General features: G+C 47.5%; 1 protein-coding gene and 1 pseudogene across 2 annotated transcripts, besides 1 other annotated feature; one reads left to right on the plus strand and one right to left on the minus strand.

Moving 5' to 3' along the window:
• Positions 188-23,189, minus strand: GLRA4 (glycine receptor alpha 4 (pseudogene); annotated as a pseudogene). Its single transcript, NR_164162.1, has 9 exons — positions 22,827-23,189; positions 19,592-19,722; positions 19,235-19,302; positions 18,772-18,995; positions 18,550-18,632; positions 16,846-16,986; positions 13,751-13,965; positions 8,214-8,363; positions 188-2,208 (listed from the first exon to the last, which is right to left on the minus strand). The product of NR_164162.1 is annotated as a glycine receptor alpha 4 (pseudogene) (transcript).
• TMEM31 (transmembrane protein 31) lies at positions 5,603-8,726 on the plus strand. Its single transcript, NM_182541.2, has 3 exons — positions 5,603-5,770; positions 6,930-7,054; positions 8,288-8,726. The coding sequence occupies exons 2-3, from the start codon at positions 6,953-6,955 to the stop codon at positions 8,690-8,692; spliced, it is 507 nt and encodes a 168-aa protein (NP_872347.2). The 5' UTR covers positions 5,603-5,770; positions 6,930-6,952; the 3' UTR covers positions 8,693-8,726.
• Positions 25,557-26,430: an enhancer, noted in NCBI's record as "NANOG-H3K27ac-H3K4me1 hESC enhancer chrX:102985791-102986664 (GRCh37/hg19 assembly coordinates)". NCBI's record gives its function as "activates a minimal SCP1, AML or CMV promoter by ChIP-STARR-seq in primed H9 embryonic stem cells {active_cell/tissue: H9 hESC(primed)}" and the evidence as "EXISTENCE:reporter gene assay evidence [ECO:0000049][PMID:30033119]".

The raw sequence follows: 27,269 nt of genomic DNA on the forward strand, positions 1-27,269 counted from the left end.
TTGTTTTAAATCTGCTTGGCACCAGAGTTATAATATTGCCAATAAAAATAATTTCTAGACCAGCTACCCTGGTCAGCTCAGAATGCTCTCCTCAAAACTAAGAGACAGACAAGAGGAGTATCTCAGTGAACAGGAAAGAGCAGACAAGTGCAATAGGAAAAGGGATAAAGACAAATCAAGCTCTTGGTTTGATTATAGGATTAGCTTTGGCCATTGGATTTATTGACTTTCAATTTGGATCACCATATGGAGGGAGGGAGGGAGGGAAGGAGGAAGAGAGAGAGAAAAGGAGAGAGAAAGAGAGAAGCAGAGAGAGAGACTGGACTTATGTGCTTAATTATTCTAGGTCCAGAGAAAAGGACAAGATGTCTAAGAGATCATTTGATCACTTCTTTCTTCCAGTGTCAGTCCCACACTTTAATCTCTCCTGTTTCAGTTACTCACAGTTGGTCACTTCAAAGGTCTCAGTGTGCCAGGCACATGCTTCCCCATGTCCCAGTGGTATGTCAGGCCTGAAGTGGGCTCTTCCACACCAACTCTCTCTATTCTGACGTTTCTGGTAGCTTCAACTGACTGCTACACCTACTCACTGCTTCTCCTTGTGGAGCAAGAAGGGTGAAGAAACAACTCTGAATTATGGCTCTTTAACTTCTACAACTTCTACCCTGATGTTGGTCAAATCAATGTTGATCTAGTATAGGGGTCTTCTACGTGCCTAGTTCCTCCCCAGCAAACCTGAAGCCCATTCTATCCTTAACAAGGTTGCAGCGGCACCTTTATTTGCACACCAAAAGGAGGTGAAAGACCAGGTTGGAAATGAAGGGCCCTGGAAAATAGACTTTGGTGAGAAAGAAGAAACAAATGAAAGCCCAGCCAACAAAAGACACTCTGAGAATAGTTTCTCTATTCTACTCCTCCTGGGTTCCACTACCTTGGATCTCACTTTTCTCAAAAGTTTTCTAGCATCATAAAGTAAGTTTCTTAAAGAACAAGTATTTTTCTTTTTTTACACTCCCCAGCTGTCCAACAGATCCTGCCATCATGCTAGTTAATTAGGGAACGGAACGAATATTTCTGAGACCAGAATGTTCAGGTGGATCTGGAAGGTTAGTCTTTTTGAGAACCCAAAGTCTCTGCCCCAATTCTGACAGTAATTTCTGAACCAGCTACCCTGGTCAGCTCAGAACGCTCTCCTCAAAACTAAGAGACAGACAAGAGGAGTATCTCAGTGAACAGGAAAGAGCAGACAAGCGCAATAGGAAAAGGGATGAAGACAAAGTGTGGGGCTTCCCAAGAGACTTGAACACCTCTCTGTTGGGCCATATAGTCGCTAGCCCAGTGCAGCCTATGACTGTTCCAACCCTCTCGAGAGGTGGGGAACTTGCGGCTTTGCCTTCCTCTCACTTCAAGGAAACCTGACTAGGCCCCACAGGGCAGCACTTGTGGATAGGAGAAACTCACCATTTGAATCTGCAGCAGGAGGGACAGAGGACAGAGTAATGGCCAGGCTCTGGGTGGGAGGTGGCAGGGGGAGAAGTGGTGCAGATTAAGATGACAAATGCCAGAATCTAGCAGCAGTGTTCTGAATACTCTCCACTGGAGTATTGGAAAACAGGGAGGCTCCAGCAAGGGCAGAAGGTCATCCTGGCCCCAGGAATGTGGCCAAACCTTAGTCTCATGAGAAATGGGAAAGTATGGAGAAAATATGGACTAGGGTAGATAAGCCATCTTTATAAGTACAGCCACCATTGGCACCATGCAATATAGGCCCACATAGCTTTGGGACTGGTAGTTGAAGTTCTGAGTGGGAGATCAGGAAGGAACTGTCCAAACCCCTAATGGAGTCTAACTGAGGGAGAAAGCCCACCCAGGAGGAAGCAGGAGGCCAGCAGCAGGACTCTATAGCTCCCACCCTATTCACAGAGCCTGGTGGATATCTTCTGACCATAGCACTTTATAGACAACCCAGTAGAAGATATTGAAGATGAGGAAAGTGAAAGGGAAGACAGCCCGGGAGATGGTGTCAATTCTCTTGGCTCAGTCCACGTAGAGTTTCCGCGTGGTTTCTCCTTCCCTTAGAAGAGGGGCTGGAGGTTGGGGACTATAAATGCCAGAACCTTCCATTGGACCTCCATCTCTTGCCTGCAGGCAGTGGCCCAAGCCATAGCCACGGAAATAGAAACGACTTTCTTGGATGATATCTTCCTCCTGGAATTACAAGGAAGAAACGGCAGAATTTGAGGTCAAAGCTCAAAGGCAGAGGGATAGAGAACAGACCACCCATCAATATCTCATAGGGAATGTTATGCAGACAAGGTGCCTTGGGTACACAGGCCCATTGCATGCTTTTTATGGTCACAACACTACTCATGAGATAGATGTATGCTAAGCAGCTCTACGTGCTATATATAGTGTATGTCATGATTCCATGGCAGATAGGCTCTAAGCTACCCATGTAAAATGCAAAACATCATTTAGAGTTATCTAAAATCCAGTGAAGTGCCGGCCACTGTGAGAGGACATCTCAATGTCAAGTTATCTCTGACTGGTAATAAACAAAACAACAAAACTATTAGATAGTGAAGTTGAGATATTCAGTCTTAGTAAACTTGACTTTAATGACTTTCAAAAGCTTCAGAATTCATTCCCCTTTTGAATCGTATCTTTTAAAATTTATCTCAACTTAAAACTGAAAATTCCAAAAGTTTTAAATAACCCAATGAGTTATCCAAATTAGGATAAACACATGCCCAGTGAGGGGTAAATTTTATATAAGCACTAAGTAATGCGGCAGACTGCCAAAAGTCCATTTTCCAATAGTTAGCTGACAACCTTTAGTAGCTAAACGCAGCTAGGAGCCAGGAAGTAGGGACAGAAAGATAAAGTTGAGAGAGAAAGAGAGCAAGAGAGAGCGAGAGAGAGAGAGAGAGAGAGAGAGAGAGAACCAAAACCTCTGAGTGTCAATAGAGAGAGCTTTACTTATATGAGGCCCTCAGGCCCCCATTCACAGCCTATTTAGTCTTATTTTATATGCAACCCTAACAAGCCTAATTTTATTTACTTCTAAAGGACAGGGTTGAGAAATGCTTCCTTCAAAGATGGTGGTAATTTCTTAAAGTATTCATGGTTTTAGAGTCAAAGTTTCAGGTATCTAAGAAATCACCTGAAGTGCAATGGCCTCTTGGAGGACGATGCAAACTGTCATCTCGGTTTGTCCAGAACGGAAGGTGTTCCTAAGACTTGGGTCTTTCAGGGCTGAAACTGGGGAAGTGCAAGGCAAATCAGGAAGAGCTGGTCATCCTGTGGCTACCTGAGGTATTTATTATAAGTTATAAGAAAAAAATATGTGTATATTGTATAGGTATGACATAGATATATACAAAATGTGGATAAAGTAGATTTTAAACACTCTGTCTCTCTCAGTTAGAGGGACACCACAGGGTCTTTATCGTGGGACCTCTGCAGCTATGGCAACACACTGAAAAGTGGCTTTGCCAGGCACGGTGGCTCACACCTGTAATCCCAACACTTTGAGAGGCCGAAGCTGGCGGATCACGAAGTCAGGAGTTCGAGACCAGCCTGACCAATATGGTGAAACCTCTTCTCTACTAAAAATACAAAAATTAGTCAGGCGTGGTGGCGGGCACCTGTAATCCCAGCTACTCAGTAGGCTGAGGCAGGAGAATCGCTTGAACCCACGAGGCGGAGGTTGCAGTGAGCAGAGATTGCGCTATTGCACTCTAGCCTGGGTGACAGAGCGAGACTCCATCTCAAAAAAAAAAAAAGAAAAAGAAAAAAAAAAAGAAAAGTGGCTTTGTGTATGAGATGTTGGTGTTGTAGGTCCTAGTAACCCTTGATAATGACATGACTAGAAACTGACCTGTCATCATAAAGACAGGCCTTGGTTCACCTCACATGTACTCTGTAATTCATTTTTACACTATTCTGACAAAGGAGGTTGTGCTGGACCCATTTTCGAGGTGAAGAACCAGAGGCAAACAAAATATTTTGCAATAATTTTAAAATGAGGGGAGTAAGTAAAATGGTTTTCTCCTTTGATTTCCAGTTCAGGGTCCCTCAGATGACCCTGTTGCCCAGTACTCACCCTGATCCCCTGAGCCCTACCCTGGCTAGAGGATGTAAGCAAAGGATGTTGGCAAAAAAGCTCTGAGGGGGAAAGTTGGATCCAACTGCTATTTCTGTTTCTATAGATCTAATTATTTTCCCTTTTCTCCAATCATAATAAATCTAAAGGGAGTTATTTGGACACATTTCCCAGGCTGGAAAAAGCCATTTCACACAGGAGAGAAAATATGGCCAACAGAGTAAGCTGGTCTTGGCTTTTTGTGACTTTAACATACTGCACCTGTTGTAGCTGGAGGAGCAAAGATGAATGGCTTGAAATCCAGGGGTGGGGCATCCTGCATTTGGGTATTCTCTATTTAGGCCAAATTCTGAGGGGTGTTTGTGTGTGGGGTGTGTGTGTGTGTGTGTGTGTGCTGGAAAGGAACATTGGAGCCTTAAATACCACTTTGTGGCTTACATGCCTATTAAAATAGAACTTTTTTTCCCCTGGCTATCTATAGGGGAGAAGGACTGAGAAGCTAGAGAGGGAAGATATCTCAAAACCACGCTAAGGAGGGAATGCACAGTGTAGGAGGTAAAGTGTGGAGATGGGAAAGAGTGATTTGTATTGAAGTGAGAGGGGCTAGAAAAAAAGGGATTAGAGAATGGGGAATGAAGAGGGTGCTGGAGGATGAAGAGAGGTGGGCAGGGTTCTGGGACCAAGCCCTTGAGAGGACTGGGCAGTATTTTGAAATTTCTTCCAGTTATCAAGTTATTCTATTGATCATGGCAAAGCTTTTGCTCTGTCCAGTTTGAAAGACAGTCCTCTCCAATCAGCCTGTAAAAGTTGGTGAGCTGGGTTACATGACTGCTGTGTCCAGAGCCTGGTGCTAAGGCCTGCTGAGGAGATGAAAAAGAGCTTCCCTTTCCTGGGGAAGCTTATGGACTAGCCGGGAAGACAGTGTAGGATTGCATGGGTAAAAAGTAAACCACTTTAGGCAGTGACATGAAAGGGGGCCACCATGCTATGGAGTTGTTGGTTGAGGAGAGAGTTGAGAAGAAAAGATGTGAATGGCTGGCTGGTTCCTAGAACACTCCTAACTGACTCTTGGCTAAGGGTTCCCTGGAGATCACATGGATTTTCTCCCTGCCCTCTCAGACTGAAGAATTCTTTTTCCCTAGCTGGAGCAGTAGGGCCCGGACAGAGGTTCTAGAAATGGATGAACTCTCCAACAATTTTTTCAGCCTGCTTGGTGCCTCCAAAATACCTGCTACAGGTCCTGGGATAACAGTGACTTTAGAAGACTCAAAAAAGGACATGACGAATGGCACGGGTTTGATTTTCAGTTTTATTCACGTTAATAATAATAATAATTCACGTTAAAAAAAGCCTCAGCCCACTTTTAGGCAGGCCCCAGAGTCCTAAGCAAGGCCCAGGCTGCTGTTGTAACTTTGTAATAATTGAGCACTGGTCATGACAGACTCCATTATGAGCTCAGGATCAGCCTATATATATGAGCAGGAGGGGACAGGCTGCAGGCAGTTGCGGGTTGCAGGAGTTCAGGAAAGGAGGTGGGACTAGAGTCAACCTGGAATAGCTCTACAGTAACAATGGCAGCCTTTTTGTTGCTGGGACATCCATACAGGCAACTTAGCTGGTGAAAGGACTCTGGATTGGTTGGCAGTCTGCTTTTTTTTTTCCAAGGTAGGCATTGAGAAGGCACCAAGATCAAAACTCCTATAAAGATAAGATCTTGGTACCTGCAGGCAGATTTGTTCGACACAGCTAAAGAGGGGGTGGGGACAGTTAGCTTAGAAAATGGAGTGTCCTGGCCGGGCGCGGGGGCTCACGCCTGTAATCTCAGCACTTTGCGAGGCCGAGGCGGGCGGATCACGAGGTCAGGATATCGAGACCATCCTGGCTAACACGGTGAAACCCTGTCTCTACTAAAAATACAGAAAATTAGCCGGGCGTGGTGGCGGGCGCCTGTAGTCCCAGCTACTCAGGAGGCTGACGCAGGAGAATGGCGTGAACCCGGGAGGCGGAGCTTGCAGTGAGCCCAGATCACGCCACTGCACTACAGCCTGGGCGACAGAGCGAGACTCCGTCTCAAAAAAAAAAAAAAAAAGAAAAAAGAAAATGGAGTGTCCTTTTTTCTTGCCCTTCTGCTAGGTGTATACACATATTTTTCTAACCCTTGGTATGGGTTAGGAAATGCTTTTAGGTTTCTTGAAGAATGAGTCCTACTCGAGGACATGTAGTTGTGGATTAGTCCACTAGAGGGCGTACTGCCCAGGGACCAACTAAAGGACTAAAGGGTAGGGACTGATAAATTCAAACCACTAGATGAGACAGGAGCCCTGCCCTCAGCAGAAAGGAACCTTAGCAAGGGACATGAAACCAAGGAGGTAGTTTGTGAGATATTTTTAGTGCGGACATACGGTAGGGGTGCCCCTGGAGCAGCTGAGGTGGGAGGTGGTGTGTTGAGGAGAGAACATTCCTTGTGCTAGTGTGGCCCAGACAAGCTAGAGTCAGGATTTTAAGAGTGGGTTCACAGCATTGTTTCCCATCCCCCAGAGGTCATTATGCTCTTGCCTCTCTGGCTTTAGAGCCTCCAGATTAGACAGAAAACATGGAGTCAGAGCTGAAGACAGACCAGAACTCTGTGTCTCTAATGGTTAAGCAACCAGTATGTAGCTCAGTTAAGCCTTTCAGCTTTGCTCATAATTGGACACTTGCTTCTGTGAGGCTGGCCCAGGCACCTCTGTTGTCATGACAACTTACCTAGCACCTATTGTCTGGGCAATTGGGGGTAAACTGCCTCTGTTGTCATGACGACAAGATTTCTTTTATATTTCCCCAGGTGATCACTTTACTGTAGAAGAAATGAGGTTAACAGAAAAGAGTGAGGGAGAACAACAACTCAAGCCCAACAACTCTAATGCACCCAATGAAGATCAAGAAGAAGAAATCCAACAGTCAGAACAGGCAAGTGGTGGTTTCTCAATTCCAACTTAGTTATGGGGGTCCTCTTATAATGCTCCCCTAGAAAGACACCAATGCCTGATTGTTGAATTCTTAACCACCAATTAGTGTATGACAACCTGGGCTACCTTCCTCCCGGTTGTGGGGGAGCAATTACTACTCAAAGCAATCTCTTTTTATTTATTTATTTATTTACTTATTTTTTGAGATGGAGTCTCACTCTGTTGCCCAGGCTGGAGTGCAGTGGTGTGATCTCAGCTCACTGCCAGCTTCAAGTGATTCTCCTGCCTCAGCCTCCTGAGTAGCTGGGATTACAGGTGCCCACCACCACACCGGCTAATTTTTGTATTTTTAGTAGAGACAGGGTTTCACCATGTTGGTCAGGCTGGTCTCGAACTCCTAACCTTGTGATCCACCCGCCTTGGCCTCCCAAAGTGCTGGGATTACAGGCGTGAGCCCCCGTGCCTGGCAAAGCAATCTCTTATTAGCTAACTTGGTAAGGTTCTACTACTAGCTAACATATCTTCAGTGCTTATTCTATGTCAAGCAGTGTGCCCATGCCCTTAATCAATCTACTATACTGACTTACAGAATCAAAGAGATTAAAGTAATCAAAGAGATTAAAATCAAAGAGATTAAAGTAATCAAAGAGATTAAAGTAATCAAAGAGATTAAAGTACTTAGCTTAACAGTGACCAGCTTAGTACTAGAATCCAGGTTTCTTTCTTTCTTTCTTTCTTTTTTTTTTTTGAGAAGGAGTTTTGCTCTTGTTGACCAGGCTGGAGTGCAATGGCTCAATCTCGGCTCACCGCAAACTCCGCCTCCTGGGTTCAAGCGATTCTCCTGCCTCAGCCTCACAAGTAGCTGGGATTACAGGCATGCGCTACCACGCCCGGCTAATTTTGTATTTTTAGTAGAGACAGGGCTTCTCCATGTTGATCAGGCAGGTCTCGAACTCCCGACCACAGGTGATCCGCCCACCTCGGCCTCCCAAAGTGCTGGGATTACAGGCGTGAGCCACTGCGCCCTTATGAATCCAGGGTTTCTGATTGCCTATCTAGTCCTTGCAGCCCTGGGGTGGGTCTTGGTTTGTGGGGAGGCGGAGTAGGGAGGAAGGAGTCCAAAGGAGAAAGGCAGTGGGCCGCTCCCTAGTTGTACTCACCAAGCGTTGGCGCCTCTGCCTTCTTCGAAGTCGTATGAATTCTTTATGCTGACGAGAAACAAAATTTATGGCAGCATACTCCAGCAAGGCAGCGAACACAAAGAGCAGACACACAGCCATCCAGATGTCGATTGCCTTCACGTAGGACACCTACAACATCCAGCGACAGAACGATCAACCTTCTTGAAGTCCTTCCGTGGCCTACTGAGTGGATTTTCAACCCCTATCGATTGCCTGCTCTTTTTGAGCTTTATCCTGAATTTCTTCTGGTGTTTAAAGAAGCCTTCCATGACATATCCCATTGTCTGAAAGCCCAGATGGAAAAGATCGGACTGCCCATCATACTCCACCTCTTCGCACTCTCCACCCTCTACTTCTACAAGTTTTTCCTTCCTACAATTCTTTCCCTTTCTTTCTTTATTCTTCTTGTACTTCTGCTTCTGCTTTTTATTATTGTCTTCATTCTGATCTTCTTCTGATTCTTTTGTTTCAATAAACAGCAATGAGCATGAACACTGCATTTGTCTTCCCTCTGTTATCTCCTAGGGTCCTCACAGCCTCAGTGGTAATTGGTCAGGCAGCGTTCACAATTCCGATGTGAGACACATGAGGACACTTAAGGCCCAGAGCAGATGGTCTTAGCCAAGATTACCCAGTGAGAAGGTGGCACTAGGACCTGAGGGTTCTGGGCTTTCAATTCAGTGGCATTGCCATTTACTTAGGCTGTGGTCTCACTGACAAACTAGGAGTTCCTTCCTTTCCCTCCTCCACCCCTGTTCTTCCCTTGGTCCTGTGGTTTTCCTTGTTGCTCTTTTGGAAAGGCTCTGCTGATGAATTTAGCTCAGTAGTAAGCTGGGGCCTCATCTCTCACCCTGGAGAGAACAGGGCAGGGATACTGAGGGAACACCACCCACCCCTTTAAGGATGCTTCGCTAGTTGCAAGATGTGGTTGGCATCCACCTATCCAGTCCTTTGTACTCTCCTCTCACTGCTTTCCTTGGCAGCCTCTAAGTACTTTTGTCTCCCACTTTCTGGCCTCTTCCAGGCATTGCAGCTGGATGGGGCCAGGAGTGGGGGACAGAGCTCAGGTTTAGACCTTTTCATCTTCTCAACCAAATTACCTGCTACTTAGTTTTGAGCTGCTGAGCTTACCACATAGCGCACCCCAGCAAGAACAGAATTTCGGACAGGCCACTTCTTTCATCAGCCACTGCTATGATGGGAAGTGAGGGTGCTGCAGACCCCAGGTAAGGAGCAAGTTTCACTGGATAAATAAATCCTCTGCTTCAATGATTCTTAACTGGGGACAACTCCGTCCCCCACCAGGTACATTGGGTAATATTTGGAGACATTTTTGGTGGCACAATTTTGAGGGAGGAGGTGGCTACAGACATCTAATGGGTACAGGCCAGGGATGCTGCTAAACATCCTACAGTTCACAGCTCCCTGCCTGGCCTTCAACACACAGACACGCACACACACAAGCACACATACAGACACATACAGACACACACAGACACACATACAGACATGCACACACACACATGCACACACACAACAAAGAATTATCTGGCCCCGAATGGCAAGAGTGCTAAGGGTGAAAAACCCTGCTCTAACTCTTTTAGGGCAATGTCACTGAGATGGTGGCAGTGGGTTACTAGACAACCCTGATGAAGCATCCTTTGGTGTCTCTACTTTGCCACTTACTAAGAGGGCATCCTATTTCATTCACCATCCCTCAGTCCCACAGTGCTCCCAAGGATATCAAATACCTGCTATTAAGATCAATAATGAGGTAATTACTCATTATTATAAAGAGATGGCCATGAAGGTCCTTAGACCATCAAAGAAAAAGACACTTTAAGCACTAGGAAGAAAGTCCTGTTAATGATAAGTGTGTCAATAATACATCTTAGAAATCTCGGCCGGGCGCTGTGGCTCATGCCTGTAATCCCAGCACTTTGGGAGTCCAAGAGGCAGATCACTTGAGCCCAGGGGTTCAAGATCAGCCTGGCCAACATAGCCAAACCCTGTCTCTACTAAAAACACAAAAAATTAGCTGGGTGTGGTGGCGCATGCTTGTAATCCCAGCTACTAGGGAGGCTGAGGTGGGAGAATTGCTTGAACCCGGGAGGCAGAGGTTGCAATGAGCTGAGATCGTGTCACTGCACTCCAGCCTGGGTGACAGAGCAAGACTCTGTCTAAAAAACAAAACCAAACAAACAAACAAAAAAACAAAAACAAAAACTCAGGAATCTGTCCACTCGCTATCCTAGCACATCTGAAGGGTTGCAAGTTTTCTGAATGGTCTCCTTGCATCTACTCTTGCCACCTCCAATCTGTTCTCCAAACAGTAGCCAGAGTTGTTTTCAAAATGTAAATCTGATTATATCACTCCCCTTTATGATCCTTCAGTGGTTCTCCATTACCCTTACGATACAGTCTTTGCTCCCCTTATCATGATATCTAGCCTTTGCCTACCTGTTCAGTTTCATCACACCCCTTGTAATCTGCTGTGGTGAACTATTTCAGTAGTTTCCCAAAGAGCCAATCTCCTCTAACCTTTCTCTCATTTACCTGGATAACTTTTACTCATCCTTCAGCTCTCATTTTAGATACCACATCCCCTGGGAAGCCTTCCCTAATCATCCCAGTCTGTGTCGGTTGTCCTGCTGTATGTGCTCAGGTTACCTACAACTTCTTAGCATCCATCACATACCTGGCCATTCCCTCCACTAGACTGTGAGCTCTTCGATGGCATGGACTGTTTCTATCTCGATCACTGTTCTGCTTCCAATGCCTAGCTGAGTTTCTGGACTATAGTAAATATTTTTTTGAATGAATGAACAGATAGATGGTTTAGCAACATGTGATGTGTATATCTGCTGGCTTCTGCTTGCTCTCTACCCTCCTTACCACTACCTGCCCCAATAGCTGTAGGCCATTTAGATGATAGGATCTAGATAGAAGTGGCTCCTTCCCTGCTGCAACTTTAGGTCTAATCTCCTAGCCTCTGGAATAAATTTCCATTTAGTCCTTCCATTCTGCTTTGAGCTCCCTGCAGTTGAGGGGATCAAAGTCCTGGCAAAGAGATGGTAATCAGTGCCTTTGGTGGCACCATAAAGGCAAAGTAACAGTTGTTTCTTGGGAACATGAGGAATGGCCACTCCAATCTAGTTCCCTTACAAAGTAAGCCCCTACCACTCTCATTCTGGACACTAGAGTTGTATTAGGGGTGTGAGACTGGTGTGACTTTTGGAAGCCCCTGGCCTGACCTCATGGGCACCCACCAAACTTAATGTTGCACAAACTCAAGAGTGAGCAGACAGTCCCTGGCTTACTGAGTCCCTTGCTCTGAGGGGCTGGTTAATGAGGCTATTTAGTTCAGGGTGCAGGCCTGGATATTTTGCTTACTGGCCAATGAGGCCATGAAGAACTCATTAAAATCTGACAAGAAGGTACCAAATGCTGCAAACAACCCTCAAACAAAGACTTTTTTTTTTTTCCAAATAAGGAAACTAAGTGATTCCTGGGAGCAGATGGATTATGTTCACTCACAGGAGGGAACCAGAAAAGGAAGTTCTCTTGGCAAGAATAAGGCATAAATTGCAGTACCTCCCTGCTTTAGAGATGAATCACCTTGCATGGCAGAGGCAATAAACTAGGGCAGGGTTCTTAGGTCTGAACTACTTTTCTGCTTCTGGTCTCCTTACAACATCATTATCAAAACACGACCATCACAGCCTGGTCTGGCCGTGTAGCCCTTGCCTAAGTCCAGCCTGCCTCTCAGAGCCTTGCCAATATCCCTGTCCATCTAGGAAACACATTTACAGAAAATGATCTCTAACAACGTTTCCCGGGACATGTGATTCTGATCTGAGTTTTGTCACCATTTATCCCTATAGGGTTTTGGATCACCTCAAAGGGTTTCTGACAACTCAAAAATAATTAGGGACAACACCAGCTGCTTTAGCCCCAGATTCATCACTCAGTTTTTTCAACGTTGACACCTGATAATTATAACAATAGTTAACATTTATTGAGCGGTTATTATGTGCCAAACACTGTCCTGTGTGTTAATACATTATATTTTGCAATAACCCTATGGAACTGGTAATATTCTTTTTTTTTTTCTCTCTCGAGACAGAGTCTTGCTCTGTTGCCCAGGCTGGAGTGCAGTGGTGCGATCTCAGCTCACTGCAACCTCTGCCTCCCAGGTTCAAGTGGTTCTTCTGTCTCAGCCTCCCGAGAGCTGGGATTATAGGCACACGCCACCATACCCAGCTAATTTTTTTGTATTCTTAGTAGAGATGGGGTTTCACCATGTTGGCCAGGCTGGTCTCGAACTCTTGGCCTCGTGATCCGCCTGCCTTAGCCTCCCAAAGTGCTGGGATCACAGGCCTGAGCCACTGCTCCCAGCAGGAACTGGTAATATTCTTATTCCCATGTTATAGGCAAGATGATTGAGAGGTTAAGGAATTTACCTAAGGTAAATTATTAGTAGATGATGAGCCTGGGAGACAAACCCAAATCTGTCTGACCCCAATCTCCTACTCCTAATCACTAGCTCCCCAACCCCCGCCATGTAGCAAATTCATAAATTCACCATGGATGTCTGAAATTACCTGCCGTGTAAGCCCGCAGTAAAAAGTCTTCTTAGGAACAAGCACTGAGAGATGGGAGATCACAGGGCCTGGTTCCCAACAAATCAGTGCAAGAGGGAATATGTTCATTGTAAGATCCACAAGGAACTGTGTTGCTTTTGCTTCCTGTTATTTTTCCATGACAAAGTTCAGTGGCTGGTACATAGTACATGCTCAATAAATATTTATTGAATGAATAAATGGCCTTGTTCCCTGATTCGTTCAGAGCCTTGCTGACTGTAAGGACTTTGAGGTGACCTCTAAATTCCCTACATGAAGACATGAGGCAGGGAGAATCTGTGCCCAGTCCCATCAGCACAAATCTTCCTGCGTAATCAAAACATCACTGGGCCCAGACAACTGGAGTTCACTGACTTTAATTGCTATTTTCTACCTCAATTTTCTCATCCCAAAAGAAAGGATAATATCTCTAGAGCGCTTTGTGATAGTTTCTAATTTCTGATACAGTAAGATGACAGAAATTGGTTCAAAACTCTGATATTGTTTTGGTTGTTTCTTATAAGGCATGATCTTAAGAAGGTTATTTTACCACTCTGGGCTGTATTCTCCTCATTTGTATTATGAGGCAGTAGGACTTTCTACTTGCTGAGGATCTTTTGACCTTGGACATGCTAGTATTTCCTGAAGAGAGTCAAAGTAAGGCACTGTCTCTCCTCATTCCCTAGCCAGATAGTATCCCTAACCCCAGCCTCCACATTGTCAACAATGTTATTAGCAGTATATTACAGGGAGAGAGAATGCAGGACACCAGCTTTTGCCCAGTGGGTCTTCTCAACCTTAAATCCAAGGTAAATGGTGAGCAGGAGGGCACATTGGGATGAATGGGAAATGGGGTACTCTATGGCAAGCAAGTTCCCTTGCATGTCTCTTCACCTTAGGCAAAGAGGCCCGGGAGCCAGAGCTCTGGGTGGTCATGGTGAGCACGGTGGTGATGCCCAGGCCCACACGGGCAGGGGCAGCATCCATGTTGATCCAGAAGGAGACCCAGGACAGGATGACGATGAGTAGGCTGGGGATGTACATCTGAATCAGATAGTAGCCCATCTGCCGTTCCAGGTGAAACTTTACCTCGATGCAGGTGAATTTCCCTGCAAGGAGAGAGGTGAGGTGTCAGGCCCCAGGTACCCAGCCTGTAGCTGAGCCTGAGGGGATTAGGACAGGATTAGGGCAGCCCTCTACTGACCAGCCTCTGGGCACCTCAGCTGGGCCCATGAATGAGCCTTTCATAATGGCCCCAGGTAATGCCAGATGTACGTACTAAGGAAGCTCTCAGAGCGACCATCAAAGACTTGGCCTTTGGCTCCCAGCACTTTCATTTCCAGCGGAAGGCCTTTCACGTGACTGCACAGCAAGAGGATAAGGAGCAGGAGGGCTCCAGAGTCAGACTGCCTGGGTTTGAATCCTGAACCTTCCACTGTGTGACTTTGGGCAAAACACCCAAGCGTTTTGAGCTTCAGTTTCCTTGCCTGTAAAACAGAGTAGTGATACCAACTGCATCACTGGGCTATTGGAAAAATTAAACAAGATAATGTATTTGAGGTGTTTGACACATAGGTAGCTGTTACTATTGTTATCATTATTAACAAAACAATTAGCTTAGACTCCACTTAGATCTCAGGGGCCATGCTTGTGCTTGCTAGTGCCCCAGAAGCTCTCTAGCAACAACAATTCACTGGGATAAACACTGCTTGTGTCTTAAGCAAGTGAGAAGAGCCGGATAGCAAACATCTGAAAACAGTGCCCAACAGAGACCAGCTCCAGACAGCGGGGAGCAGGTTCCCATAGAGCATCAGGCTGCAACATTCTATTCTACCAACAAAAAGTGCATTGGCCCAGGCACACCGACCAATGCTCCACCTCCTTTGCCAGACTTCACTTTACTCTGCTTTCCAGGGCCCTAGGGCTAAGAAAATACTAACGCAGAGCTTCTCTTGGAAGCAGAGGCTCAGGATAATCCAAGCAAGAAGGAGAAGATGCATATATTGTTATTTTATTCTGGCCTAGGTCTAGTCTTATCAGGCCTACTTGTTTCTTCAAAGTCAGTGATGTTGTCAATGACTGATTATGGCTTTGACACATTGTATGATGCTGTGACCTCTTACTGTTCCCTGAATCCACCTCACTTCATCCCACCCTGGGATTCTTGCCGTGACATGCCTTTATTAGGTACCTATACTTTCTTTCCTTTCTTTCCTTCTTCTTCTTCTTTTTTTTGCAATAGCAGTTTTGTTTTTAATTCCAAAATTAAAACTTGTTTAGTATAGAAAAAATAAGAAGTAGAGAAGGAATAATAATATTCATAAGCTTACATTTATCAAACCCTTACTAAGGGACCTGACTTTACCTCATTTAATCCTATAGCAACTCTTTGGGGCAAGTAAAATTATTATCTCTCATATTACAGATAGGAATACGGAGGCATGAAGAGATTAAATTATATTTCTCAAGGGCGCTCAACTAGTAAATGATGGAGCCAGAATCCAAACTCAGCTCTATCTGCCTCCAAAGTTCTTGCTCTTATCTGTTGTATCACATTACTTTAGAGACATTTAGTGCTATTTCCACCTAAGGTTTTTAAATGCATGCTTTTGGTTTGTTTCTTTTACCATAATATAATCATTCTGTATTTATACCTCCGAATCTTACCTTTTTTCACTCCTACTTTCCCACATTGATATAAGCACCTTGTAACCATTCCTTTTAATGTCTGCATACTAGTCCACCAAGCAGACGCACATGTAATTTTCTTAACCTCTGCCCTATTGGTGGATATTTAAAACAGTTCCAAGTTTTTGCTAATATAAACAGCCACCCAGGAGCCCCCTTGGGGTCTAAGGCCAATGCAGTATTTTGGAATATTTCCATATAATACATTTCAAGGAGTAGGATTCCTGGATAAATAAGTAGAAACACAATTTTAGCTTCTAGACTAAAGTTTCTCAAAGCATGTTTGCTGGACCACCTGCACCACAATCCTCAGGATGCTTGTTAAAATGCAGATTTCTAGGCATCACTCCAAGTACAGGTAACCATAATCAGAATCTCTGAGAGGTAGAGCCCAGGAGGCAACATTTTAATAGACTCCCCAGGGGAATATAGTGCACACCAAAGTTTGAAAACCACTGATCTATATACAAATTGCCAACTTTTTTACTCCAAAAAGTTTATATCAATTTTCATTCCCCCTTGCATTTTCTAAATTCAATGGCCTTTTCCTCTTCCCACTCCCCACACCCCCACATACATGCACACACATATTCATGGGGCAGCACCCAAAACATATCAGCCCACCATGGAAGGGACCCGGGATCTCCCCTCTTCAGGCTGCTGCCTCTATTTCAGGGTCAGAGCTCCGCGCAGACAAATTGTCAGGGAAAATGTGGAGCCAGCAACTCTTACAGAAGCTGCAGGGGGGCAGATGCTCAGCCTGGGAAAGCAGCCCTTCTCCACTTCTTAGCTGACATTTCACACCTGGGAAGTTCCTGAGAGCTGGCAGTGGTAGCGACAGTGGGAGGTGTGGACTGTAAGCTGGCCACTGCCCTCAGGCTTGTTCCCTCTGGGTTCAGCATAGTCACTCCCTATTACCAGATGTGGATTCCCCGCTTCCACACAAAGTTGACCCCAGGAAAAGTGGGAAACTGTCCACCCACTGTCATTTGCTCTGCAGCATGCGACAGGAACAAGAACACAGACTTTGGAGTTAGAAGGCTTGGATTTAAATTCTAAATCTGCCATTTACTAGCTGTGCGACTTGGACACTTGATTTAACTAACTTCTTAGAACCTCAGTTTTCCCTTTCTGAAAAATGGTATTTATAGTTGCTGTCACAAATAAATAAGTTATATGAAGCACCTGGCCCCATATCTGACATAGATTGAACCTTCGATAGAGGCCAGCTGCCTTGTCCCCTTGCCTCACATCTGAAGGTTCTCCTGTGGCTCACAGCCAATAAAGATCCTGGTTTTTACCTGTGTTGTAGTGCTTGGTACAACAGCCTAGATCCTTCTCATCCCGCAAGATAAACTGGGGCAGAGTCAGCCCCTCAGCCACTTGGACAGCAGGAGCATCTTCCAGCCACTCAAACACGAGGTCTTTCATGGTGTAGCCAACTGAAAGTGACAGAGATGGCAGAGGGCTGCAGAGTATGGATGCTGGGTGGGGGTAGGGGTAGGATCAGAACAGGCAGGAGAGAACAGGTGAGGAGTAAGGTCTGGGGTTTAGGAGCTTCATGCTCATTATGGAAAGGAAAACTTTTCTGGAGAGGACACTTGGTCAGTTGTCTCATGGGCCCATCCTGAGTGGGCAGGTAAATCAGGAAGATTACAGACTCCTCTCCTACCCTGTTCTCAAGCTTGAGAAAAGCCCAAAGAGAAATTATTCTGACAGACCTAGAAAGCAGGTCAAGAGGGTTGGAAAGATGTCAAGGAACACAGCTGGGAGCCTCCTGCCATATCTCAAGCCGAGGGGAGTAAGCATGTGTACCGAACACATGTCTTAAGCTGAGCTAGCCTCAGAGCCAGGACTTCTGCCACATCACCTCAGGGAGGAGACAGCTATTTATATCCTGCCAGTCATGCATGGGACAATGTGCATACCATAGATCCTAGCCAGGGCCTTGAGTTGGGGCAAATTTAAAGCTAATGTCTGAACATGTCAAGTTATTCACACATACATAGCAGTTCATGAGGGCTCATGCCACGTATATGACCATATTTGCACATGTCAGGTAGAGATGGGAGCAGAAACACCAAGGCTCACAGACATCCAGTGTTGGGCCTTGACCCAGAGTAGCTCTGTGACTTTGGGTAAGTCGCTTCCCCTTCTGTAAAATGGGAATTATAGTAGCTGCTCTCCCCACTATTCAGCGTTGCCATGAAGGGATATTGAGAGCCTGGATGTGAAAGTGGTTTAAGAACTCTAAAGAGCTGACCACATAGGACACATTCTATTCATCACAGTTATTTTATGCTGGAAACAGCCTTATAAGCCTTCTTCTGTGAACATCTAGTGGATGGCTCCAGATCTAACAGTCTCTCCTGACCCAGGAGATGAGGAGGGAGTGGAAATAAGTGATGACCCAACCTTGTCATCCTTGGTTCCTCTGCACTTTGGGCAGCCCCTCCAGGCTGGCACCCCTGCCACAGAGGAGCCCTTGGCTGACCTCTTCATTCTAGGCACTGTCTTGTGCCTAGAACTGTCATCTCCTACCTCTCTACAAAGGTTATCTATGTTTGTGGGGAATCAGGGCTCCACGAGTGCCCCCACCCTGCCCACTCTGGCATTTTTATAGGCATCTTCAATGTCTTAATTCAAGAGAGGTAAAGGTGGAACTACTTCAGGCACTGTGAGAGGGGACATACGTTTGGGCAGAGAAGATGTCGCTCAAATCGCCCCCCAAAACAGCACAAACACATTTGTGCGTAAGGCTGATGCCTTCCCGTTCCCCAGCCCCATGGAACAGCCAGATCAGCAAATAACGTGGGGATGAAAAACACACTGGGCTAGGGGTTAGGGACCCCTGGTTTCTAGTCTCATCTGTGCCAAGAATTGGCTGGGTGTGCTTGAGTAAGTTCCTCCCAACTCTGAGTGGCCCTTTTCCTGTCTGTGATGTCATGAGGTCGGGTTAACTGGCTGTTATTCCAGGCTCTCTGTGACTCTATATAGACACTTACAGCTCTCAAGCTGCATCGTGCAGGTCTGGATGTCCATGGGGAAGTTCTTGAGGTCCATCAGGCAGGACAAAATGAGGGTCAGCCTAGTGGGGACAGTAAGAAAGAAGTGACATCGGCTTACTGGGGCCCATCACAGTGCAAGGGAACCCTCCTCCCACCCCTCAGTCTTCATCCAAATTCTTCCCCTTAACGCAAACTCTCCTGGCTATCCACCCGGTGCACCTGATGCTGTACAGCACATTCCCATTCTTGAAGATGCGCAGTAACTTGTTGTCCGTGGTCACCTCATGGAAGTTGGCCCCTTTCTCATTAGCAAAGAAGAGGTCTGGCTTCCAGATAGAGTCCAGCATGGAGGGATCGAGGTCCAGAGAGTCATCAGGATATTCTCGGTAGGACAGGCGTGGGTCATTCCACTGTTGCCGCAAGAAGACATTCACCCGGTAGTCCTGGGAGGGTGCAGATATGGGCCCTTCAGAAACATTGCCATTCCCAGGGGCCCAGCAAGCCTGTAGGGGCAGGAGGGCCATGAGGAGGAATGTTGGGAACACATCTCAGGGGCAGTAGGCATTTTTCACTGGAGAAGGAACCTTCCTTGGGCTGATATGGCAAAAGATGCCAGCTTGTTATCTGGTGGGCTCCTCCCACTCACACTAGGCTGGAAGTGGGGAGCAGGGAGATCCCTTACCATTGTGGTCTTGGTGATGGAGCTGAAACTGTTGATGAAGATGTTGCAGGTCACGTTCACGGGTGGGCCTGAGGGTAGCAAAGCACAGGCCATTGGCAGGGCATTCCAGGAGGCTGGGAGCAGCTTCCAGAACTCCTTCCCTGAGCTGCAGGCCAGGGCACTGCTGGGAGAAATCAGTGCCAGATACACAGGCCCATGGACAATGGGGTGAGGAGGCTCCTTCTGAGCTGTTAGAACCAGCCCCAGCCCTGGACCTCCAGCCTCCTTTCCTTAGGGAAGGCAATAGGGGCTGGCTGGCTAGTGTGCTGCCAAAGGTGGTGGGGAGGGAGGAGTTTTTATAGGATGAAGATTTCTTACCTTTAAAATTGGGCCGAATCCTGGCATCATATCCAGATGTTCGCCCCATAAGTTTGTCTAGGAAATCAGAGGGGGACATGGGCTGGGACCCCTTGGTTCCAGATTTGACTTCCTCTTTTGCCAAGGCCACCCTGGACAGGAGAGGTAAAAAAGTCTGAGGCCAGTTATGTGCTGCACTTATCACAGACTCTCAGTTTCCATACCCCTCAGGCAGGAGGATAGAAGACAATGGGTCTCTGGGTGCCATTTGCAAAATGAGAACAAAAACGCCATAAGTCAACACGGCAGCCTGCCAGTTAGTACTAGTAAAGTGTTTTCACAGACAGTAGGTCTTCTTACCCTCCCAATTCTCAGTGAGATGGGAGTGAGGACTGTTATTCCCATTTTACAGATGAGAAAACTGAGGCTTCAAAAGGAGGACTGACTTGTTCAAAGTCTCAGAGCTAGTGACAGGGTCAGGACTCAAACCCTAGGCTGAGGCCTCGTCCAGTGTTCTCTTTCTGAAGGTACTTGGAAAACACTCAATGAGTGATGTCTTGCGGGAAATGATGTGGCTACTACAAAGTTTTGCCCGTCTAGCCTAGTCAAGGATGGGAAGGGCTCAAGGACAACTTGTATTTCTGAGAGTTGGCTTCAGTTGCTTGGGCTTTATGCTGGGCTGCTCAGGAAGTAGGACCCAGCTTCTGAAGAGGGAGTTTTGGCTTCTGGTGTGTGCTCCAACAGGAAGCTATGTTTGAGCTACGTTTTAGTTAAGGACCATGCCACTGCAGGCAGGTGAACTAGTTTTGGCAACTATGGTGGGGAAGCAGGACTCTAGGGATGGGAAAAAGCCTCCTGGTAGGGTAGACATGCTGAGGTCAACTCCCGTATTTTCCCCGCTAACAGCTTGATTTTGAGGAAGGAGCCAGTGTGCTTTGGCATAGCTTAGAAGCCAGCCCCCTTTTCCCCTAACGGGTTTCCCTCTAATAGCAGCAAAGCCCCTTTCATATGCCTACTTACCAACTTGCCAGCTAACAGATAAACTAGGGACTAGGAGCTTAGCAAAGCCTTGGGGACAGGAGCAGTGCTCAGGGCTGAGCTCAGCTGGACTCCAGGCTGGGCCAGGCACCTCCTGCTCCCTCCTGCCTGCTGTCATTGCTCTATAGCCGACTCCACCACTGTCACTGCCGCTGCCGCACTGTGGGACTGGGCAGCAGGGTAACTGCTGTCCTGCTGGGGACTAGTCTTCTTCTAGCCAGTGGGCTCCTCTTTCCCAGTAGATCCATGTACTATCCAGTGACCGATAGAATAATAAAAATAGCTAAGGCCCCATGCTAAATGCTTTACACACTCTGTCTAGTTTAGTTCTCACATTAGTCCTCTCAACTAAGTATTATGATTACCCCCATTATATAAATGAGAAGACTGAGGATCAGCAAGGTGAGGTGAATTCTTCACGATCATGCAGCCAGTGAGTGGTAAAGCCGGGATTCAAATCAAGAGCTACTGACTTCAAAACTAGCTCTATCTATCACAATACTATGGTGCAGGCAGCCCAGGGTGGGCTGCCAAGGAGCCAAAGTAGGGGAAGGTCAGTGGCAGCCCCACCTTGACCGTCTAGAGTCCTGCCTCCTTGAATCTTCTAAGGAAGAGGAAGCCCTTACCCTGGGGACAGAGGCAGGCTCTGAAAATCCAAGGAGGCTGGTGGTGGTGCTGGAGCAAGCAGAAGTCTGTGACTTCACCACAGGATGTCCACGCTAGCCAGGTGCTGCTGCTGCTTCTGGCCACCTGCCACCTGCCTGCTGGGAGGCCACATGGTCCTGCACGTGGAGAAACTGGACCCTCCCCGCCGTCCTCAGCCCCACTCTCAGGTCACCTCTCCTGCTAAGCCTAGACCTAGTATCCTGGGACAGGCTATGGGCTTAGCAGTCTTGGTCCCCAGCCCCTGTTGCAGTACCCTCTTCTGGGGCTAACTTGTCTGAGGACCTGAGAGCAGAGTCACCGTGTGCAGCCACTCCTTCCTCTCTTTCATTCCTGGAAAGTCCTAAACACCTTCAGGACCTAGGAGGATCCAGAGCTGACAGTCTTTCTCATGTAAAGTCTTGGGGTGGCGCAGGGAGAGAAGTCTAACTCTGGTGCTAGGTAGCTGAGCCACCCTGGGCAGGTCATTCCCCATCTCTAGGCCTCAGTTTCCGTATGTACAACGAAGGACTTGGACTCCAGACTCTCTAAGGGCCCGTTTTGCTCTAACTGCCTCTGCTTTCCAAGCCCCAGTGGGAATGCTGCTACTGGAGCTTGAGCTTTGAGGCAGCCTCCCCTCCTGGAGGGCCTGCAAGGCCCAGTGTGGTGCCCCCTTCTGCCTGCATCCTCCTGTCAACTCCAGCTGTGCTGCCATTCTACTTTGAGCTGCTTTTCACTCTTTAGAAGTTTATTGCCCTGCTCTGCATCCCTGCCTGCCTGCCAGCCAATGTGTCTGCAAACAGTGGGGCAGGAGGCTTTGCAGACGCAAGCAGCCCTGCGATGTTTCTTGGATTAACAGGAGGAGGAGGAGGAGTATGCCGCAGTGGTACTGACCCCCTCCACCTTGGGAGGCACTCCTCTTACGATCAGGTCAGCCCAGGCTACAGCCATCTTTCCTGTTCAGCTCACCCTGCCAACCTAGGCTGGCTCCTGGTCTAATGAGAAAGGGGCAATTGGTGGGGGAACATTTACAGGGAGCCCAAAGCCTGTCTTTCCTGCAAGCCCAGGAAGTGACTGCTACTTTTTCCCCCTCAAGGAATAGGGAGCAACCAAGTGAGCACAGGCAGGGTGACTGCAGAAGGCCAAAGAATGTCTAGCCCAGCTCCATCCTGATGTGGTCTTGGGGCAAACCCCTGCTACCTGAAGCCTCTTGGGCTGGCAGTTGACAGATGTTGCCATCATTTTTAGCGATCTGAGCAGTGTGTGGCCCAGATGATAGGGAAACAGGGTTAGGTGGCTGGGCAGACACCCTCCATTCTGGGGCTTAGTTGCCTAGCCCCTACCCAGGCCTAGGAAGCTTCCACCTGTGCAGAAACATTCCCAGCATGACCGGTGCCTTGACATCTCTAATAAAAAGCTCTTGGGGTCCTAACTGGGGGAGGTCGTGTCCTCCCCTGAAGCCCTCCAGACTGCGGGCTTTGTGCAAACTTAGAGGAAAGTGTGCCAGATGCCCAGGTTGCCCATCCCCCTTGGCTAGTGTTTGCATGCACCTCCTTCTCACCCCCACTCAGCTCACCTGAGGAGGACCTGCCCTGGCAGGGTCCAGAGAAGAAGGAAGGAGAGGGTTGCAGGAACAAGAGTTGTCATTCTGCGGGGATCTTGAAGCCCTTTCTCAGCCTGGCTGCCAATGTGAGAGGGGATATCCCTGCAGGAACGCCAAAAGTACAGAGCCTTTCTCCAACCTGGGCTGCTCGCAAAAGAGCCTGCTTTCTCTCCTCTTCTGCCTCTTCTCCTCTGGCCTGTCTTTACCTGCCAGGGGCCAGAACTATTCCCCTGGAAATGATCCTGACACAGATAACCCTACTGGCTTCTGCTTGGGCTCGCCTTGGGCTCCGGAGGGCCTTAGCCTGCCAGCTGGGAGCTGGAAAAGATTCTCTCTGGGCAGCAATCACTCTCCAAACCCTGAAGAGTCTTGGAGGGGAGGGAGGAGGGAGACCGGTAGGAAGATGTTTTCCTGCCTCCCACCTCCCCCTAGATGCACCCTCCGAAAGCAGTAATTTAAAGGCACAGTCGGCAGCAGCTGGAGTGGGGTTCAGAGCCTGCCCGTGTGCCAGGGAGGAGCTTGGGCTGCCATGGCTGTTTGGGGAGGGCCAGAGGTGTTCTGTCCAACCTCTAACTCCCCAGCTGCAGGAGGGCATGTAAGCAGCCCTGCTCCCCCCGCCCCCCACCTCCCACTCCCGACCAGCTTTCCTTTCATCCTGGAGCCAAGCTGGAGCCCAACAGTAAAGTCCTAATGATTGTTACCAGGGGGAAAAAGACCTGAGAGGGTTTAGGCAGCGCCACCAGGTATTCTCAAGCTGACAGCTTCAGGTTAGAGAGAAGGTGAAGAGGCTGAGGGCAGGAATAGCTTTCCCCCAACTCTCTGGACAGAGACACAGAAGGTGCATGATACAGAGGAACTTGGGAACCCTCCTCAAGTGCGGTCTGCCTGCTTGACAGTCTGTCTGTCCCTTCATCTGTCTACCTGCCCCCATCCCACCTCGCCCTTGTAGTTAGTTGTGCAGCCATTCCCGTGCCTGCTTTCCTCCCTCAGGTCGTCTCTTGGGGTCCTCTATAGCTCTCAGAATTCCTCCTCCCAGACACTCCTTCCCCAGCCTGGCTCATGGGAAGGGACAGAGATGCAGAGCAAGGCTGGGACACAGTAGGCTTTGCAGGCTTCAGAGGAATGGCAGCGGGTCAAGAGCAGTGACCTAGTGGCCCTCAGCCCTGGATGGAGGACAGAGGCAGAGGGGTGGGCTGGCCTCTTCCCTTGCCTCCTGCACATTTGCTTACAGCAACAAGGTGCTTTGGCAGCTCCATTTTCTCCTGCCTGACTCTTCCTCAAAGGTTCCAGTGTGTTATCTAAACACCTCTGAGACTTCTCCCCTCCCCCATTTCCTCTTGCTCTCTCTTCTTTTTTTCACTCTACTCCTCTCTTCCTCCCCCCTCCCTGAAATTTTCCTTCACGGACCCTCTGTCCATCTCCATCTCCAATCTTCCTCGCAGTTTCTTCTCTGCGTCTCACTTTCTGTGCCTGTCTGCCTTGCTTCTTTCTTCCTCACTTCCTCTCCATTCCCGGTTTTCTCTTTCCACCTCCCCTGTATCTTCACTCTCTCACACTCTCCTCCAAAACGACAACAGTGAGAAGCCAAGCGTTTTCATTTCTCCCTCAGGGGGAACTCTCCCGCCAGCTCTGCGGAGTTCTGATTGCATGCTGTGGGGAGGGGTCTGTGCCACCTTCTGAGGTTCAATCCTGGAGCTGACTGTGGCCTCCTCAACCTTGCCAGAGAGGGTTTGAGGGGATTGGAAGCTCCTCCACATGGCCTATTGGCTATATGGAAGGATTAATAATGAGGTAGCCGTGAGTGGAACCTGTGCTGCAGCTCCCTTTTGGCTGTGTTATTATTAAGGAAGAGAAATTTTCAAACCATAAATGAAAGGGTAAGAAGAGAATTTTAAATGCACACTAAAATATAGACAGGGGTGCTGGGCTTTTGGAGTTGGGACTGAGAACATTACAAGTCTCAAATAATGCCTATATGGTCAGTAAATGTAAAATAACCTAAAACATCTTTAGCTGCCCTTTCATCTGCTCACCCTCCCTCCTTGTTTCCTTTAAGCATCATGATCCCCACTCCATGGGCAGAAACTGAGCCTTACAGAACCTCCCAGGACAGAGCTCCTTGCTGGGGGTCTGGCGGGGAGGGGTGTGGCTCTTGTCTCCTCTGTGTAACTCACTTCCTGTGGCAAAACTCAACATGTCACTTCTCCTGCTTCAACAGTTCCCCATTGCTCTCAGGCTGCAGCCCAAGGTTGGTCACTCTGCTTGTCCCACTGATGCATCTAGAGTTTCCTGTTCTGTCTCTCCAGCTTCCTGGTGTTTTTGTATGTTGTTCCCTTTATCCAAAGTACTCTTCCCTCCACTCTTACCCTTCTGGACTGAGTCTCGTTGTCATTTTGTAAGGAACACTTCTGGAGCTGCCCCCATGTCCCTTGGGTATAGGATAGGAGACTGTCCAATGTGTTCCCACAGGACCCTCACCTTTGCAGCACTCTGTCACACTGTCACATTACCAGATTACTTGCCTGTCTCCCCTACTATCGCAAGCTCCCTGATGAGCAGAGACACATCATCCACCAAATCCCCAGCACACTATAGGCAATTAGTGAACATTTGTTAAAAGATGCATCCTGGGCAGGAATATTTCCTCAAGCTCAGTGCCTCTGCATCTCTCTCTGTCAAACAAGAAGTTTGACACACAGAGAGAGGCCAGCATGACGTAATGATAATAAGGAAAAATGAGAAAGCAGTTTTTATTCCCTTGTCCCTTAGGTCTGCGGCCTCACACTCGGTCATCTGGAATTCTTAGCTAATGGAAGGCATAGGCCCCTGGGGACCTGTCTATTGTCTCGGTCCCACCTCCTGTGTGCCAGATTGGATCTCTGAGTGCTGAGATCATAGCAGGATCAGCTTCATGAGAGGAAAGATCCCTTCTTGTGAGAGGCTGTAGCTATGACCAAATGTTTGGCTGACATGGTGAAGAGATACAGCTTTCCTAGGGTGCTGGAAGCAGGCTCTTGGGGTATAGAAGGGAGAAAGGGAGGTAAAGAACTGGGTAAGCTGCACTAGGCGTTCACAAACAGCAGGAGAGGTGGGAATTGGAAGAATTCCCTGTAACAACAGGAAGCAACACTTTCCAAAGATGACCTCAGCATTTTCTGCTGTGGGAAGAGTACAACGTTGTGTTGAGCCTCACCCCATAACCTTTTTCTCTTCTCATCACTAAGCTATGGAGTATATGCATCATCATGTTCCAAAATGTATCGCACCCTTTTCCTGTTTTGCAACTGGCTGCCATACTCACCCGAGAACTGGCTTTATTGCAGTGCTGAAGTTGTATAGAAGCTACAATAGGCAAAATGTTTTTCAGAATGAAAGATATTATTTTGTCATGAAAAAACTACCAAACTGCTAAAAATGGATTAAGCACATTTTCGTAAGTGTTTCATTCCAGAAAAGAGTCTGCCACGTTTCAACCCTATGCAGGGAAAATTGCAACTGTGCCCTGCTGATAAGCAGGCTTCCTGAAACCTCAGTCTGAGGAGCAGCAGGTCTGCATTGGGATGGGTATTGTTTGGTAAATTCAGTGACTTCTAGGGCTACATTTTGGGGGGCAAAGTTGGAGAACCATTTGGCATACCTTTCTGGACTCAACTTCAATTACCCAGATGGTATGGCCCCCGGATTGCCTATCTCACTTATTGAAGTAGAGAGAGAGCTGAGAGGTACCTTGAAAGGCAGGCTGTGTTCCCCAATCTGAGGAAACTCTCAGAGCTTTAGCTACTCTTCAGAAGCACTAGGCTAAGTAGTTGGAGGGGGGTTGAAAAAAAGACAGACACCTTTTTAAAAATCTGCTGACAATGACCGTGGCGTTTCAGTTGGATCTCTAAGGAGCAAGCCTGCATCTTTTTGCTGCGTGTGAATTTTTCTTTTCAGGGTTATTTTCAACTACCAAAGATATGACAATTTACTTGAAAGCGGAGGCTCAACTTCTGGTGCTGAGGAGCACTGGCATCAGAGGCAAGAAGCTCTTCCACCCTTGGGAATTAAGGGGATGGTGCCCAGTGTGTGGGGGCAGTAGTGGTGGTGGAGGTTTCACAGTCCTAGACTCAGGTGGAGTAAGGAAGAACAAAATTGCAGATATGATAGACACATTCAGTGCTCTCTTGACTTTTGGACAGTGACTGGTTCAAGTCTGATGCTTCAAAGATTTGGCTTCATTCTTTTGTTTAATAGAATATTTCAGGTATGAGTTTTGCAGACAAAAACGTGAAGTATGTGAACTTGGGGAGGCCAGTGGAGAGGTTAACCGAATTCCTCTCAGTCTCCAAAGACAAACCAGATGTGAGCACCAGGATGGCACCAGTGAACAATGGCCCTGCCTCTGTTGCTGGGCTCTCTGTTAAGAATCCAGGGAAC

This window comes from Homo sapiens, chromosome X (genome assembly GCF_000001405.40).
Source record: "Homo sapiens chromosome X, GRCh38.p14 Primary Assembly".
Lineage (NCBI taxonomy): Eukaryota > Metazoa > Chordata > Mammalia > Primates > Hominidae > Homo > Homo sapiens.